The sequence below is a fragment of the Homo sapiens genome, chromosome 1, assembly GCF_000001405.40.
Source record: "Homo sapiens chromosome 1, GRCh38.p14 Primary Assembly".
Lineage (NCBI taxonomy): Eukaryota > Metazoa > Chordata > Mammalia > Primates > Hominidae > Homo > Homo sapiens.
This window is the reverse complement of record NC_000001.11, coordinates 34,754,061-34,772,521: the sequence shown is the minus strand read 5'-3', so window position 1 is coordinate 34,772,521 and position 18,461 is coordinate 34,754,061. Positions and strand designations below refer to the sequence as shown.

The 18,461-nt window shown below is 51.6% G+C and overlaps 2 protein-coding genes across 4 annotated transcripts; both read right to left on the bottom strand.

Moving 5' to 3' along the window:
* GJB4 (gap junction protein beta 4) lies at window positions 10,195–12,782 on the bottom strand. 2 transcript variants are annotated; one of them, NM_153212.3, is made up of 2 exons: window positions 12,734–12,782; window positions 10,195–11,589 (listed from the first exon to the last, which is right to left on the bottom strand). In NM_153212.3, exon 2 carries the CDS (start codon window positions 11,265–11,267, stop codon window positions 10,467–10,469), a length of 801 nt encoding a protein of 266 aa, NP_694944.1. In that variant the 5' UTR covers window positions 11,268–11,589; window positions 12,734–12,782; the 3' UTR covers window positions 10,195–10,466. The 2 variants fall into 2 exon arrangements, with proteins under 2 accessions (NP_694944.1, XP_011538981.1); XM_011540679.3 differs by lacking the exon at window positions 12,734–12,782 and adding an exon at window positions 12,387–12,668.
* On the bottom strand, window positions 14,010–17,475 carry GJB5 (gap junction protein beta 5). 2 transcript variants are annotated; one of them, NM_005268.4, is made up of 2 exons: window positions 17,327–17,475; window positions 14,010–15,215 (listed from the first exon to the last, which is right to left on the bottom strand). In NM_005268.4, exon 2 carries the CDS (start codon window positions 15,189–15,191, stop codon window positions 14,370–14,372), a length of 822 nt encoding a protein of 273 aa, NP_005259.1. In that variant the 5' UTR covers window positions 15,192–15,215; window positions 17,327–17,475; the 3' UTR covers window positions 14,010–14,369. The 2 variants fall into 2 exon arrangements, with proteins under 2 accessions (NP_005259.1, XP_005270808.1); XM_005270751.4 differs by having other exon boundaries at window positions 14,010–15,212.

Genomic DNA, 18,461 nt, shown 5'->3' with positions numbered 1-18,461 from the left:
GATTCCACTTTTTTGAAATATTGAGAATAGGCAAATTCATAGAGACAGGAAGTAGGTTAGAGGTTACCAAGGGTACCAGAGGTTGCTGGGGGAGTGGAGGTTATTGTTGAATGGGTACAGATGGAGCTCTTGCCGCGGGTGATAAAAAGCCTCTGGAAGGCCGGGCATGTTGGCTCACGCCTGTAATCCCAGCACTTTAGGAGGCTGAGGCAGGCGGATCATCTGAGGTCGGGAGTTCAAGACCAGCCTGACCAACACGGAGAAACCTCGTCTCTACTAAAAATACAAAAACATTAGCTGGGTGTGGTGGCGCATGCCTGTAGTCCAGCTCTCAGGGGGGCGGAGGTTGTAGTGAGCCGAGATCATGCCACTGTACTCCAGCCCGGTTACGGAGCGAGATCCATCTCAAAAAAAAAAAAAGGGCTCTGGAAATAAGTAGTGGTGATGGTTGCACGACATTGTGAATGTAATTAATGTGACTGAATTGTACACTTAAAACAGTTAAAATGGCAATTTATATGTTAAGTCTATTCTATTACAATATGAAAATTAAAAAAGAAGAAGGGTGGAAATACAGATTTTGGAGTCAACAGTGTTGAGATGGTGGTCAAGGCCATGGGAGAGGATGTAATCGCCCAGGGAGGGCATGGAGACTGAGGAGAGAAGGTGGCCTGGTACAGAGCCCCAGGGACCTTCCTAATTAAGAGGTGGGCTGAAGGAGATTGAAAGGGAGCGGCTGGAGCAGTGGGAGGAAAACCAGATGAATGGTGTCCCAGAAGCCTGGGTGTATTAGTCAGCACTCTTAATTGCAAATGACAGAAATGCAGCTTGAATTAGTTCCAGGCACAGAAGGCAATTCATTGGTTTATAGAAACACGGGTAGGGCAGGGGAGCCTTGGGGCCCCAGGGGTACCTGGAATTAGGTCTGGGGTGCATCTGGAGCTGCTCTCCTGCCTGCTTCACTTCTGCTCCTCTCTAACTGTTGGCTTTCTTCTCTCCTTGCACTAATGGGCTTTTGCACAAGGTTACTCTTAGCTTGAGCTCCTCCCTTCCAAGTTTTACCATGACACTCTTCTCTTAGAAAAGATTGAAATGATCTGCGGAAGAACGCTGATTGGCCTCACCTAGAGGACACCCTGAGGACAAGGGGCCTGGACATCAGCCTGGCAGGTGCCTTTAGAACCCCAGCTTAGAGGAACAGGAGAAGTGCTGAGTGGGCAGAATAAGTAAGGACTCAATGGCCTGGCAGAGAGGCTGAAGAAGGAAGACCATCTACCCTGCTAAATGCCTCATCACACAGACAAGGGCTGGAAAGCATCCACTGGGCTTAGTGACAAAGGAATCGTAGGTGAACTTGGCAGAGGCAAAGCAGTTTGAGTGGCATGTGAGGACAGAGACAGATCATAGCTGGTGGGTGAGTGAGTGGGAGGTGAGGAAGTAGAGACAGTAAGTGCAGACATCAGTTTCAGGAGGCGCAGTTGTGAAAGCCAGGAGAGAGGTAAGGAGGTAGCTGCAGGGAACGTGGGATCAAGGAAGGGTTTTGCTTTTGTTTTTGGATGGGAAAGATCTGAGCATGCTTAAATGCTGAGAGATGCAGGAGAGAAGTAGGTGTTAAAGATGCAGAAGAAAGCAAGGAGGTGGGAGAGAAAGAGGATCCTATGCACGGGTGGGGAATTTAGAGAATTAACAGTGGGCCCACCCATTTGTGCTGCGGGAAAGGAGAGAGGGAGGTTGTGGATGAGCGTTGGTCTGTAGGTTTGGTGGCAGTCGAGAGGAGAGCATTCTTCTCAGATAGCTTCTACTTTCTTTAAGAAATAGGATGTAAATAAGATGGAATGTGCTAGAAAGTTTGAGGAGAATGGAGAAATTGAGGAAACTGCCACCATGTACAACAGCAGAGAGACCAAAGCAGAATTCGTCAGGTGGCACCGAGCGCCCAGGTTAGGTGGGAGAGCAAGAATTTGCAGTGGCCTCACTCTGTTTGGTTGGGTGGTTTACTCTAGCAGAGTCCAACACAGGGTGGAGAGATGGAAAAGCCCCGTTGGATTGATTGGGGCCTGGAGTTCTGCTAAGGAAGGAGGGGCAGAGGGTAGTGGGTATGCCATGCAACAGCAGTTCATTCTAGTCACCATCTCAGCAAATATTCATTACCCTTTTACTGTGTACTGGCCATGGCGCGAGGTCTGAGGATACATTGCCAAACCAGACAGATACTGTTCTTGCCCTCAGAGAGCCTGTGGTCTAGTAGGGAAGGCAGCTCCCATGTGAGATAAGGGTGATAATAAAGACACTGTGGAGCTCAGGCCTAGGCTGGCTGCAGAAGGAAGGGAATGTAGGGCAGGGAGGCTGGTAGATTGAGAGAAGGACACAGGGTCAGGTCTGGAAGTGCCTATGGGGTCACGAACAGGTGTTGAGGGAGGAGCTAAGTGAGGGGGTCGGGTGGAGGCCGTGGTCAGAGCATAGGAAGACTTCCCATCATTAAAAAAACCTTCGCTGGTCCCCTCATTCTCCTGCCAACAAACACCCTCTTGTTTCCTATTCTTCTCACAGCCACGTTCACCAGCCAGTTGTTCACACCTGTTTCCATGTGCCCAGCCCTCACTGTCCCTTCACTGCCCTGGGACCTGGTTTCTACATCCCATACTCCTGCACAGGTACACATGACCATCTTGTGAATCGAACGAACACTTTTCAGTCCTTATTTGATTTGGCCCATGTCAGCGTTTGGCTCTGATGATCACTTTCTCCTTCTAGAAACACTTCTCTTGGCTTCTGCGACACCATCTTCCTCCTCTACGATGTCATACCCCCATGGCTTGTATGATCTCTACTTACCCTGCCCGGAGCTGTCTTTCCCCCATGTTATTTGACCTTTAAGTCTCCAGCCTAGGGTATCTTCTCATCTCTCCCCCAGTCTCTGTATGGTCTTACCCACTCCCAAGGCTCAAGCCCCCAACTACCATAGAGGCCCAGATTATGTCTCCAGATAAAAGGTAACCCCCCATATTCCCATTGAGGAGAGCCTCAAAAATGTGTGGGGGCTGACCTGGATATATAAACTTTTAGTGTGGTTGAAATAAAATGTACTGTATTAACTTAGTTTGTTATACATTTTAAAAATCACATTGTATACAACAATGTAGTAAGAAGTATTAGTTTTTCTCTCCTCATGCTTTATGAAGTAATTTTATTTAAATTTTTAACATTTTTCTCTAACATCTGAGTCTACATCATTAGAGCTTTGGTTGTTATCAACATTTTACAAAACACAAAAACTTTATTTCTGCCCAAGTTATTTGTGACATAGTGCTTTTTGAATCTGTTTATGATGCTGGAGATTTTATTCTTTGCCATAAAAGTCTGGCTGCTTAACATTAGGTTGCATAAATAAAAAAAATCTTCCAGTAGGTATTTGTCATCTCCATAACATAACCACTTCCTTTATTGTTTTAAAGTGATTTTTTAAAATGGGCTTGCTTACAAAGACAATCCTTGCAATTGTAAAGTCCTGCCCTTGGGAATAATGATTCAATATACGTGAAATGCCTTTGCCTTCACTTTTTTTTTTTTTTCTGATTCTGCCAAGCAACTACCATGAATATCCAAAACTTCATTGATTGAGGTTATTTCGGGCTAATGAGTTTTCCCCAAAGAGCGTTTTGTTGTTCAAAATGCAATAATTGAGAGCATGCCCCGCAAATGCAGGGAACTTTGTAAAGACTTGAATGAAAGACAAAGGCTTCCTTCCTAAAGGGTAATTTTGGAGCAAAATCATGTCTTATATTCATGCATTTATGCTGACAACTCCCAAATAGATATCTCCTGACTTGTCCTTTTCCCTCTTACATCAGCAGCCTACTAGACATCTCCTGGGTGCCCATCATCAGTGTCAACCCATTTTAATTGAGTGCCTACTATGTGTCAAGCACTTTTCTAGGTGCTAGAGGATAAAAGGGTGAAGACAACACAGCCCAACTTCTTTTTTTTTTTTTTTTTTTTTTTTTGAGACGGAGTCTCGCTCTGTTGCCGGAGCTGGAGTGCAGTGGCACGATCTCGGCTCACTGCGAGCTCCGCCTCCCGGGTTCACGCCATTCTCCTGCCTCAGCCTCCCGAGTAGCTGGGACTACAGGCGCCCGCCATCACGCCCGGCTAATTTTTCGTATTTTTAGTAGAGACGGGCTTTCACCGTGTTAGCCAGGATGGTCTCAATCTCCTGACATTGTGATCCGCCCGCCTCGGCCTCCCAAAGTGCTGGGATTACAGGCGTGAGCCACTGCGCCCGGCCCAGAGTCCCACTTCTTGAGGAGCTCATCCCAGTGAGGCAATAAAGAGAATAAATATGTAAAAAAATAAGAAAATTTCATATACTAGTAAGTGCTACAAAGAAGATAAAATGAGATCACATAATGGAGAGTGACAGTGTGTGGTGGGTGAGGAGGGTGGGTCAGAAAGGGCCTCCTGGAAGAGGGGATGTCTGAGTTGAGATGTGAATGCTGGGGAGACAGACATGTTAATCTGGAGGGGAAGAGCCCTGTCAGCGAGACAGGTGCAAAGACCCCAAGATGGGAGAAGGCCAGTGTGGGTGGAGCATGGCAAGAGGGGAGAGTGAAGGGAGGTTGGCTTGGAGCAGGAGCAGTAGTCAGTGCCTGACCCCATAAGACCTTGCAGGCGATGGTAGAGTTTGGCTTAAATTTATTTTTCTGGCCATGATGGGAAGCCACTTGGAGGATTTTAAGTCAGGGAGTGACTCCACTGGTCTGACTGACGTGCTAGAAAGATATTTCAGGCTGCTATGTGGAAGAAGACTTTTAGGGGAACAAGAGTGGAGGCAGGGAGACCAGTTGCTGCAGGTGTCCAGGTGTAGAAATGAGGTGCCTTCGCCTGGGACTGAAGCACTTGGAAAGACTAGGGTGTTGGATATGAAGTCACCAAGTGTTTGGATTTTGATATGGTATTTTGGAATTATAGCCAACACAACTTGCTAATGATGCCAATATGATTACGAGGAAACAGACTCCAGGTTTTTGAATTGAGCATCTGGATGGATGGGGATGACATTTTCCAAGGTGGGGAAAACCTGGAGAAAACTAAATCTGTTCTCAGTTAGGGGAATTAGGAGTTCTATTTTAGATGACCAATAGAAGTTGAATACAGGAGTCTGACCCTCATGGGAACAGTTAGGTCTGAACACATCAATGTGGGAGTCATCAGTTTATGGATGGTTTTATAGGTGGTACTGGATCAGGTCACTGAAGGGGAAATGTATAGAGAGGAGGAAAGAAGGTAGAGAACTGGGCCCTGGGGCATCTTGCGTTTAGAGCTTAGGAAGAGGAAGGAGAGGCATTGAAAGACATCAAGAAAGACACATCAGTGAGGTGGGAGGAAAGCCAGGAGAGATTCTGCCTGGAAGCCGAGAGGAGACAATGTTTGAGGAGGGAGCTCTTCATGGCTGAGTGATGCTGAGGGAGTTAGGCCAGGCCGAAGAATGGACCACTGGATGTAGCAGCTTGGAGGCCCTTGGGGATATTGACAAGAGCAGTCCTGACTGGAACAAGTTAAAGCAACAAGGAAGTGGAGGCAGCAAGTATAGGAGACTTTTGTTTTGGCAATGAGGTAGCAGCTGGAGAAGAATGGAGTTTCAAGAGAGAATTCAAAAAAAGAGAGAGATGAAAGTATTATAGTGTATTGGTAGAAAGGGAAATGGCAAGGCAGGAGAGAGAGGCACCAACTGTGGAGCACAGTCTAGAGTAGGTGAGGGGTGAAGGGGTCCATTGTCCAAGCGGAGGAGGGTGTCCCAGGAGCAGGGATGCTTTGTCCACGTTACAGGGGAGGAGCAAGGCTGACAGCCGCTCATGCTTTGAGTTTGGCAGATGTGGTAGCAGTAGGCTGAGTTGAGCTGGCCTTTTGCTTCTATTCCCAGCACGTTGTTATGCCTGACTATCAGCTTAAATGGAGGATTAGGAGAATGGGGTCTGGAGGTTTGAGGAAAGAGGAGAAGGCATGATAGAGTCATTTTGGGGAGTAGGGATAAAGTTTTAGGAAAATATAGAATTTCTTAGAGGTGCTGAGTGTCCACTTGAACTTTGTGGTCAAAAGTTTAAATGGAGACCAGTCAGTCCAGTTGTATTATCCTCCAGGTGCTCAGGAACAGGTGCCATGTGGAGAGTTGGGTTTAACCGGAGTTAGGGTCTTGCCAGATAAGTACTGGAGAGGCATGAGAAGGCGAGGGAGTGGAGGACACCTGCAAGCTGGTGATTATCTGGGGGACTGTGGAGTCTAAGCTGAGAAAGGAGGGCAGGGAGAATGGAAAGGGGTGGGGGAACATAGTGGTGGGTCAGTAGATGGGGCAGAAGGATTGCTGGAATGGGAATCAGGTTGGGTGAGCCACATAGATGGGAGATGATGCAGCTCTTGGTGTAGACAGAACTAGGGTGTGAACATGCAGGTGGGTGGGTTGGAAGAGTGGATAAAAAGGTTGTTGAAATCAAGGAAGTCAAGGAACTGAGAAGTCAAGGTGTTGAAAATGGAGTCACTACTAATAAATGTAGTAGCAGATGGAAGACACTGAACGAGGGGCTGAGGTCATCCGTGAAGGAGAGGGAAAAACCACGATATCTTACTTGTATCTCAAATTCAACATGTCTGAAACTGAAGTCATCCACACCTCCCCACTCAAGTAAATGGTACTACCATTCACAGCCAGAAACCTGGGTGTCACTTTGATCCCCACACCCAATTAAATCATCACATCTTTTGGATTCTATCTTGTAAACATTTCTTAAGTCCATCTACTTCTTTCCATCCCCAAGGTGCACACCCTAGTTCAGGCCATTGCTGTTTCTTGCTTGGACGATTGCACCAGATTCCAAACAGGTAGCCCTGCCTTGGCCCCGCCACATTGTATCCAGAGACATTGCAAATTGGATCATGTCACTTCTGTGCTACATCTCTCTAGGGACTTGTCATTGTCCTCAGGATAAAGTCCAAAGTCATTAGCAGAGATTTACAAAGAAATCATTGCAAGGATCCAGCCTCTGTCTACTCCAGCCTGACTCCTACCTGAGCCCCTCACCTGGCCCAAGAGCTCCTGGGTTCTTTCCATCTTTGTCACCAGGTATACTCTCCCTTTGCATAAGCTATCCCCTCTGTCTGGAATTCCGCCTCCTTGCTTGGCAAAATCCTCCTTCTCTAGATGTCTCAGGGAGCCTTTTTCTGGATGCCTGGATGTTAGATCCTCTTCCCTCTCTCCCCAGCTTCCCCAGTGCGCCATGAGTTTGGTAGCTGTCCTCTTCTCTAGAATGTAAACTCCATGAAGTCAGGGACCATGTCTGATTTTTCCCAGATGACTCCTTAGCACCTTATATGGAGCTTTCACATGAAAGTGAATAATAAAGAACAAATATTTCCAGGAATGGAAGGCTCTAGAGGTGAAACAGTTCTGGGTGATGACCAGGTCTGGGGTGGGGTCCTGCTAGTGGGTAGCTAAATGTTGTGGCAAAGGTGGTCATGGGATAGAAAGGACAGGGTGATGCACAGGTGACCCCTGAGGCCTTGGATCATGGGAGAATAGCAGGAGGAGAAGGCCTTGGGCTATGGGCTCAGTCTTCAATGAATGAGGAGAGGTAGATGGCAATAATGTGGGCAGGACAGAGGGCAGAAGAGGAAGCAAAGGGGGATTTTTCAAGAAGGTGAAGGTGGACAGGTGTGAGTGGTGGTGAGAGCAGTGTGAGTCTTGACATTGTGGGTGGGATTGAGGATAAATGGCCTGATGGCTGAAGCAGTTCTTAGTCGCAGCCTCCTCTGAAGGTCCCCACTTGGCTCAGTGGCTCAGGACTCGAGATCTTTGGGAAGAGCATCCAAGGAGAGGTCGCCATGGGAGCTGTCAGGTCCTGGAGTGAGCTCACTATAAGCTGGACCAAGCAGCTGCCCCTGGAGGATGGATCTGGAATCTTGGGGGCATTGGCTATCGTGGGGTCCTCTGGCCTGGACTTGGGAGCTACTGTGGTCTGAGCAATGTGGGGCTATCTGGCTCTGAACTGGTCAGGAGTGCCACCCTGTTCTTTTGGGCTGGTGGTCACAGCTCTAGTCTGGATTGGAAGTGGGAGCTACTCTTGTTTCCTGGAGTCAGGAGTGTAGTAGATGGCATTGGTGCCCTGCCCATGTCCCCTTTACTGGGGGAATCCATTCCCCAAATGCTGTGAATATTGGCTGCTGATGGCTTATGGCTACCCCTGAAGAATTGATTTTGACTGAGCCAGAGCCACCTACCACTTCCTGCCAACCCTCCTGCCATTGGGGGCACCTGAAGTAATGACCGACTGAAATGTGGTGAGACTTATGATCTGAAGCCCCCTCATCCCACAGGGGTCGGGCCAAGGCTGCATCTCCCTGAGTCTGCATCCCTGCTCAGCTCAGCCCCTCCCTCCCCAACTCCCCTTGCTTCTTCCTTCACATGCACAGAAACCCCTGCCTCTGGCTCTGCTTCCAGGGAGCCTGCCCTAAAGACAGGTGACTTCGATCTTATGCCATAATCAGGGGTGGGTGTGGAGTCTACCTGTGGACCACAGAGGACAGAGCCCCTGACAGACTCAGCAGATCTGTGTGGTCTTGAAGGGCCTCCTCCCCTTTCTAGACTCAAGTTTGCTTACCTAAAGGTGAGACCTTGATGCTGGCTCTAGTTGAAACAACAAAAACAAAACAAAGCAAGCAAACAAATGCTTTGCTGAAGTCCGCAGGCTAGGTGTGGTGGAAGATTCCGATGAACAAGACTCAGTTCCTTCCCCCAAGCAGACTATTTACTCATCTAACAAGCATTTATTGAAGGCAGCAGGGACCTGGATGACTCAGTGACCTGCCCATTAAGGGCTCACAGACTGATAGGGAGACACTCAGGGGAAGTGACAATTCCGATTTGGGGAGAGTGGCAGAGGGACAAGCGAGGCTGGCACTTAGAGAGATGGGTAAAGCTGTCCTAGAGGTTCGAGGGAGGATCACAGAGGGGGTGGGAAGGGCATTCTAGCCAGAGGAAATAGCATGACAAAGGCACGAGGAATGACACCACATGACGTGTCTGCCTGGGGAACCAGGAGCCCTTTGGTATTACTTGCAGGTAGAAAAGGGGAGGAAGCTGGGATGAGGTGGGGAGGTCAGCGGGGGCCATGCTGAGGGCATGGGGCTGGTGATGGTGGAAGAAATTTTAAAGCAGGTGGAATGACATGGTCAGTTGCATAGACAGATAAATCACTCCATCCCTGTAGCGGAGGGCAGATGGGGGAGGTCCAGGAGGTAGTTAGGTTGTTGTAAGGAGAGGAAGAGCAGATTCAGGTGGCATTTAGGGACTGGAATCAGTGGGATTTGGTGCCAGTGGGGGTGTGGGGTGTGAGGGACAAGGATGTCAGGCTTGTCTCGTCCCCTGGCTTGGGCAGCTGGGTGAATAGCTGTGTCCTGCATGAGATGGGGTGGGGCATCTTCAAGGGGGCAGGTCTGGGTGAGCTGATGAGGTCAGCTTGGGAGTGGCGGGTATGAGATGCCTGGGGGCCTCCCAGGGAATTGTCTAGTGGGCATTTGGTGGGACTCAGAGGCATGTTAGGGTGGAGGTGTGGTTCTGGGAGTTGCCAAAGTCTGAGTGGTGGTGGGGTGGGGGAGTATGGGATGGGGAAGTTGTATCAGTGAAAAAGAACATGAAATTCCATAGACTCCAGGATCCACAAGGGACCTTTCAGCTCAGACACTCTCAGTGGGCCCTGGCCTGTAGGATGTGCCTCTTGGGCACCTTGACAGATTCCCATCCCTGGCTTGCTCTCAGCCGTGACCCTCCCACCGTCAGAGGGGACTCACCTATCCGGGACCTGTGCTGGGCAGGGCTAGGGAGGCCCAACCCACGCTCATTCCTGTGATGGACGATCACTGAGAACTGACTCCTGCTGGGCACAGGGTCTCCTGGAATTCCTCTCCTCCTGCTTTGGCCAGGTGGTTGCACAACCCAGAGGCCCCTGGAGTAGCCTCTGCCTTTGGGCACAGCCCATCATGTTCTGGGGGCACACACTGTGTGTGTTGGGGGGTGATGGGTGAGCCTGGATCTGAGGTTCCAGTGCTCAGGTGCTCACTGAGTAGTCTTGGCATCCTCTCTGAGGTCCACCTAATCCCCCCTGCCCCCCGTTTTCCTATCGGCCACTCCCCACCTGGTCTGCAAAGTACTGGGAAAATCATATTTATTAAGAGGTTTGACATATACTGTTGCCATATACAAAATCCCCAGTAGCTATCAACCTCCCTCCCCTGAGGCTCAGGACCCAGGGACCAAACTACCCCCAACCTCCCACATTGGCCCCTGGGCGAGCTTCCTGAGCCCCCACAGCCACCCTCCTCACCACCCTGCTACGGCAAGGATGCCACTGCCCCTGCCTTTTTTCCTGGGTGGCCTCATGTGGGGGGGACCTGTTGATCTTATCTGCTGATCTCGCAGGTTATGGATACCCACCTGCATCCACTGGGGCCGACCCAGCCTTCATTAGGACAGAGTTCCCATCCTCAGGGTGCCCTCCCTGGGAGAGGACATATGGTGGGCACGTATCGGGTAGGCATTCCCGGCACCGAGGCCGCCGGTGCCTGGGGCCGAAGATCTCCATGCACCTCTTGCCCACCAGGTAGAAGACTTCACTGAGGTTGAGCAGGATGCAGATGGCAGCTGTGGTCACCATGAAGTAGGTGAAGACCTTCTTCTCCGTGGGCCGGGAGATGTAACAGTCCACAGTGTGGGGGCAAGGCTCCACGGAGCAGGCCACCACGCGGGGCATGTCATAATCCTTGTAGAGGCGGTGGAAGATATAGAGGAAGCCAGCATCCACGGCGGCCTTGAAGATGAGGCTCAGCAAGTACGTCCACCACAGTCCGCCCCGCTTCTTGCTCAGGTTGTCGTACAGGGACGGGGCATTGGGCCCGTGTTTCAGGTGGTGCTTGCGCTCGCGTTCCTCGCGGTAGGCCACGTGCATGACCACGAGCAGTGAGGGGCACGTGACCAGGATGAGCTGTAGGGCCCAGAGGCGCACGTGGGACACGGGGAAGAACTCGTCATAGCAGACGTTGGGGCAGCCGGGCTGCTTGGTGTTGCAGACAAAGTCCTTCTGCTCATCGTCCCACACCTCCTCCGCTGCCACCACGTACACCAGCACACGAAAGATGAACACCACAGACAGCCAGATGCGGCTCAGCACTGTGGAGTACTTGTTCACGCCACTCAGCAGGCCCTGCAGAAATGCCCAGTTCATGCTGGCTGTGTCCTGGGTGCTGCACGTGGAAGGTCTATACCTGGGTGCTACCTGCCCACTCAGGCCTTGGGAGCCTTGAGGCCTGGGGGAACCTGGAGATGGGCACCCTTAATGCTGGTGCGATTGACAAAATCTTTTCACAATCACCGTGTCATCATGTCTTCACTCCCAATGACTTGGTAGGGTAGGGATTGCCCCTGTCCTCATTTCACAAAGAGTAAGTGAAGGCCCAGAGATACCTGCCCAATGGTCCACAGATGGAAGTAGCAGAGCTAATCTTGCACTTTGGTCTTCAGGTTCCAAAATCAGGGTCTACCTTATTCTACAAGGTAATAGATACATGTGAAGACAATCATCCTGCATGGATATGCCAGCCAACCTCTATTACCCCAAGTTTCAGCCCATGTCTTCTAAAGAGACCGTAGGAAGGCTTGAATTGGACGATCTGCTCTCCCATCAGCTGCCAGGGCTGGGCCAGGGCAGGAGGGGTGGGAACGTATCCTTATCAGTTGTCAGATCCATCCCACTTTTACTGAACACCAACAAGAGCCTGGCCCCGTGTTGGGGACGTTCACATCAGCCCCTTGGTAAATCCCAGAACAATCTGCATCCTTACTCCTTGCCTCTGGCTCCAGGAAGGTTCTCAGCCCTGGCATTCCCTCCCAAACTAAACAGAGGTGCTTTGGAATCACGGGGACTTGATATCATCCCTGCCAACCCGTGTACTGGTGCTGGGGCCTGAGGGCTGACTGTCTTGACCACAGTGGGTTCCTCTGGAATTCCAACCATTCCAGCTTTAGGAAGGACTGAGGATGGATTCTGGCATGGTCTGGACCCCCCATTTACTTTCTCTGGGGGCACCCCCTCCTCTGTCCATTTAGTGGCTGTTTGCTAGCCGCATTTCCATTATTTCCTCTCAGGCCCCTCTCCTGTGGACTCTGACCTCCACACCCCCTTGTCTGGAGTCCCCATCAGGCCCCATGTCCAACCCTCCCCTCCTCCTACCCTCCTCCTTCCCCATCCCCAATCCCTGACTCTGCTCTCAGCCTCTTCAGACATCGTGTGCCTGGGACACTTTCAGAGCAAGAGGCATCGCCTGTACCCAAATGGTCTATTTACCTGTCTTATTTTTTTGCCAGGCTGTCAGCTGCTAGAGGGCAGGCTCTTCACCTCTGTCTCCCTAGCACCTAGCACTGGCCTGGCCCAGTGAACACACAATAGATGTTTGTTAAACTGAACTGAAACCCATTTCTTCCTGATACCCCCTCTTCCCCAATCTTCTGTCGTCCCTTAGGTCAGCCAGGACATTCCTTCTCCTCCTTGGCACTTCCCTGGGGATCCTCTAGGGACACTGACCCTCTGGCTCCCTCCCTGAAGCCCAGCCCACAGCCTGAGGTCCCTTGGATATCCTCAGCTCAGCTGGTTGCTTGCTTCCTGGCCAGCCTCCTGCCCTATTCGGTCCTCACCCTTCTTGGGTCCAGTAGCTGCTTCCTTGTCCTTGGGCTTGTCTGTTTGCCTCAGGACCTCCCGGAGGCAGCTTTTGTTCCTCTCTCCCTTGCTGGGTGGGGCTTTCTGGGCCAATGAGCCAAGCGAGAGTGATTGGGTGGGCAGGCAGGAGGGCGGACTTCCCCGGGCACATACTCAGAGCAAACACCTGCGGCTCTTCTCTCCTGGCCCACGCCTCCTCTCTAGCCTGGCTGGGTATGGCTGAGCCTGGCTCCCAGGCAGGCAGGTATGTGGGTGAGACTGCTGTGTGGGGTTCAGGAGCCTGATATCATTATGCCTAGGCCTAGGACAGCACCAGTGGGATTGACCCTGTCCCCTTCCCATTGCCTCCTTACCCTGCCTCCTTGCCCTCTCTCCTGCCCTTTTCCTGGGAAGCCTGATACTGAGGTCTCAGCAGCTGACATCTACGGAAAGGGGCAACCTTAATTTAGTGCAGGAACGCATCCCATTCTGGTGGTGGGATATTTCTGGGACTGGAGTCTGGAAGCTCTTGGATTGTGTAGGAAATGGGAGGGGTCAACTATGACTTTTCTAGACCAGGGCACCCATAGCCTTGGTGGAGGCAAGGAATGCAGGTCAGCAGCATGAAATGCCCCAGTTAGCACAGGGCCAGGCACAGCATCGCTGTCCATCCTCTGTGGGTCCTGGGGAAGGCCTCCAGGGAGGCTGGAGTGTGACCTCACATATGCTGGTGGGGGGCCTGGGACCTGTGTTCTGGCTGGGATGATGAAGGTTAATGTGCAGCTAGGGAGGGGCCTTCTGCCTCGTTTCTCACAGGCATTATCAAGCACTTCCTAATACCAATGATTAACATTTATGTGTCCTTTTACAGCTGGCTAGCCCTGTCCACAGCCATGAGCTCATCAGTCCTCAGCACAACCCCACAGGCTAGGTATTATTAACCCATTTTGGAGAGAAGCTTAAGTTACTTTCCCAGAGTCCCGGTGGAACTTGGATTCGACACAGGCATTCTAAGTTCATGAACTTCCCACTGCAACATGGACTAAGCTCCATTCTCTCTGCAGACAACCCACAGGACTAAACTTGCCATGGGGGATAAAGGCTAGATGGGAGCATGAGCAAGTAGCACGTCCCCTGGAGTACTGGGGGCCCCCTTTCTGGAAGAGAGGATGCCCCTCACAGGCTGGATCAAGTGCAGCTCTTCACGGGGGCAGAGAGATTGACACCATGAACGTGTGAGGGTCACGAAGGCCGCACAACCAGAGGGCACCTGGAACCAGCAAATGAGTTGACTTTTATTAAGTTCTGACAGTGGGCCACACACGATGAAGGTGCCCGCATGTGTGTTCTTCTATGAACGCCCTCCTCCCTCCAACCCTGGGCATTGGCCCTCACTATTTCCATTCTAGAAAAGGAAACCGAGCTGCAGAGCAGAGGGGGAACTGGCCCAGTGCCGTCGAGCTGGGGCAGGTGGCTGGAGTTGAGGACTAGGAACTGGCTCCCAGAGCGTCTGAATCCTCTCTCTTGCCTGCCCCTACCTCATGGCTTAGCTCCCCCACTCTCAGGTTGCACCTATGAGAGATGCTAGAGCCTCCCCATCCAGGCCCAACCTGCCAGACCAGTCCAGGCAGCCCCTCACAAGATGGTTTTCTTCACATGGTCTCGGGGGCGGTCTGGTAAGAGAGGAGGATGACTGTCTGAGCCCAGAAAGATGAGGTCACCCGAAAGGAGGTCGTCTTGTTTGCAGGAAGAGGTGGTACCGTGGGGGTGATGACCTGTGCACATGGCTTGAGCTTTCCTTGCTGCCAGGCACTCGTGGCATCTCTTGCTCACCAGGTAGATGAGCTCCACGAGGTTGAGCAGGATGCAGATGGCAGCTGTGGCCACCATGAAGAGGGTGAAAATGTTCTTCTCTGAGGGCTTGGAGATGAAGCAGTCCACTATATTGGGACATGGATCTGCGTGGCACTTGACCACAGGAGGGAGGATATATTTGGGGTAGAATGAGTGGAACACATAGAGAAAGGCGATGTCCACGCTCGCCTTGAACACTAGGCTGCAGACATATGTCCACCAGAGCCCACCCCGCTTCTTGCCGGGGTTCAGGTAGAGGCGCCCACTGTTCTCCCCATGGGCTTCTCGGTGCCTCTTCTCCTGAACCTCCCGGTAGGCCACGTGCATGACCACGAGCAGTGAGGGGCATGTCACCAGGATAAGCTGCAGGGCCCAGAGGCGCACATGGGACACAGGGAAGAACTCATCAAAGCAGACGTTGGAGCAGCCGGGCTGGCGAGTATTGCAGTCGAAGTCCTTGTGGTCATCACTCCACACACGCTCGGCCGTCACCAGGTACACCAGCACGCGGAAGATGAAGACCAGAGACAGCCAGATGCGCCCAAAGGCTGTGGAGTACTTGTTGACCCCACTCAGGAGTCCCTCAAAGATACTCCAGTTCATGGTGGACCCACGCGTCAGCTGCTACTGCAGGGAAACAAGAACAATCATTTCCTACATTTATCACAGACTTGCTCTGAGCACTTTGTAGAAATATGTCATCACATTTCATCCTTACCATCACTAGAGGAGCTGGGTTCTACTACTGTCCCCATTTTGTAGAGGGAGGGAGCTGAGGTTTAGTGGCATTATATACAAGGTTACACAACTATTAGGTGCAGGGCTGGGATTTGAGCATAGGTAATTAAGTCCAGAACCCAGCTCTTACCAATACCAGTGGATAAGGGCAGGTCCAGGGAGCCACTCATTCCTCCCCGGGCCTGAGGCTCTGGTCTTGAGGTTCTGCAGAGTGAAGACTGGTGGAGCTGGGACATTCTGCCTGCTCCCTCTGTTTCAACCCTGGCCCTCCTCCTCAGGGGGGCTGAGCCTTGAGATGGTTCTCTCCTTTCTGAGCACTGCTGCCTCTTCTCAGACAGCCCCTTCCCCAGGGGAACCTGCTCTTTGTCCTTTTCTTGGCTCAGGGATGGGACTGGAAAGGAGGCTGGAACCTTGTCCCCAAGCCCCCATCTGGTCTAACACTCTGTAATTAGCCAGGCAGAGTCCTGCTCAAGTGCCACTCAATGCAATCCAGCTGAAAGCTAAAGCAGGCAGCAATAAATTCTCTTCATACAGTAGGTTTCCTAGAGTAACCTGGTATTCCAGTGTTTCCCAAACAGTGTTCCCTGGAACCCTGTCCCATAGGTTGGCAATAGGAGAAGTGAGAGAAGAGGATTCTGTGTCAAGAAAAGTTGGCAAACATTGGGTTTAGTAAAGTTAAATAGGGTTCTTTTGCTCAACCGTGCTAATAAACTCACTAATAAATTCACCAAAAGAGGTATGAAATATGTGGCATTGCCCAAACTCATTTGCCCACAGAAGCCCTTTTCCTCCTGACATAACATTTATCATCTTGTGGAACAGCCTTGTCAAGACATCAAGTGGGAAATGCTGCTCCTGTCAGTTCTGCTGGTGAATTTGGCCTGATGAACTCACAGAATCAGATTCACCTCCGCGTAAGGACTGTGACTGCTAGGCAGAGTAAGGGGTCCCCACTTCCTCACCCGCGAGTCCTCTGCCTGATTCCTGGAGATGGGGGTGTGTCCATTAAGACCCATGCACTGTGGTTTCAACCAACTGTGCACCCTGGGACCCCAAGGAACCTGTCTGCCTAGCCACTAAAGGGCTCATGATGGCCTTCCCATGCTGGTCCAGGCTGAAGCTCACCAGGCTCTCTGGAGCCTCTGCATGATCAACTGCAAAGCAGAGTAGTGATAACAGCCAATATCCATGAAGCATTCATGCCGTGCCAGGCACCGCTCTAAGTTCTTTGTATGAATCAGTACATTATTCCTTCACAGCAACCTTAGGAAAGGGCATATTTTTTATTCCCAATTTACAGATGAGGAAAGAGGAACACAGAGGGATTAATTAACTTGCTCAACGTCACACAGCTAATAAGTGGCAGAGCTAGGATTTGAACCCAGGCAGGCTGGCTCTAGAGCCCACCCTCCGGGAACTGCCCAGCCTTAGGCCTCAGACCCTTTCCTCAAGTTTCAATGAGCTGCCTGCCTGTTTGTGTGCAGACGGATTCTGTCCTTCCCCTTGTGTGTGGATCCTGGATGAGGGTGGCTGGGGGAACCTTTGCCCACCACCCTGTCTCCACACCACCTGCGCCACTTGGACGGGGGATGGGTGGAGGTGGGGGCCGGGGTTGGGGGGAGCTCTGTTTTGAATCACCATCTTGCATGCTCAGTCCTGTCTAAGGTAGGACTCCTGCAGCTTCTCAGGGAACACCCAGGAAGGCCCCGCCCTTAGCCCCAGGGGCTCTCACCCAGCCCATCCCTACTTGGGGAGGAGTGGGGCAGGGCTTTGCAGGCCCAGGCAGAGCTACCCTGCCTGCTGAGCTTCCGGCCTGGCCCCTGCTCCTACCTTTGCCCGGCTGGGGAGACCTGAAAGAACCCAGAGCCCCTTATTCCTCCACCATCAGGACCCAGGGTGGCAGATGTGTCCAGGCCACATCCCACCACTCCCCAGCAGAGAAGTGTCCTCCTGCCACGTATGCCAAGGGGCAGGGCACATGCGGACACAGATGCCCTTACCTGAGTGACTACTCCTCAGGGCTCTCCTGGCTCCCAGCAGCCGGCAATAGGACTCAGCAAGCAGCTTGAATTTCATATCCAGAAGCGGGGAAGGTTTTCGGGGAAGCCCGTTGAAGCCTGTTTCCAGGACAGAGCCTGCCGGGTGTGCTGGCCCAGCCTGGGAGGAGGAGGAGCTGGGACCTGCACTGCCATTGGCTGGGCCCCAGCCTCCCCAGACTGCTTCTGATGAGGCTCAGGAAACTGAGGGGTTCACTCCTCCCAGGGCGCTGAGCCTCGAATCCTGGTATCCTCTCAGGGGAGAGCCACAGGTCCACTCTGACTCCTTGTTCATCCTCCCATCTGTGGGCTTGTGTGGGAGAAGCTGAGGCCTGAATCCCAGCTCTGCCACTTTCTCACTGTGTGATTTCTTGCCTTCTCTGTGAAAGTGGGAAAAGAACAACACCTACCTCATAGGGTGGATACGTGGATTAACCCAGCCTTAGGGGTGAAGTGCTTAGAACAGTGCCTGACACAAGGGAAGCCCTGTCTACAATTGCCTATAATGCGTGTATACTGCCCAGCACAGGCCTGCCGCATGGTATGTCCTCAAAAAAATGTTTCTTCCTCCTCCTTTTCCTTATTCCTAGGCCTTTTCTTTCTGAGATACAGGGAAGGCAGAGGAGAAGGGAGGGAGAGAGAGACGTATGCACTAGAGAAAATCTCATTTGGATGCATGTTGTCTTTGGGTTAAAAAGGCCAAACCCAAGCCAGGCAGGAACCACAGGAGAGGTGGAGAAGGTGGGCAGGGGCACCTGGGGAAAGCTTCTCATTAGTGCACAGACACGGTCTTTTGGCCTAATTGACTTCCAAGGTGCCCTGTATCAGCAGGTCACTTGGGGTCAGGATTCAACAGACAAAGCATCCAGGAGCCACAAACACCTCATGTCCACAAGCAAACACAATGTAGCTTCACATGAGCATACTCTTACACACAGGCCACAATTATGGGCACAGTGTTGCACACACATGCAGCAGTGGCTTTATTTTATTCACTGCTCTATCCCTTGTGCCTAGTATGGTGCCTGGTGTCTTGTCCAGTTAGGCTTCAATTTATATTTATTGAATGAATGATGTGTGAAATGCACACACCCTGCAG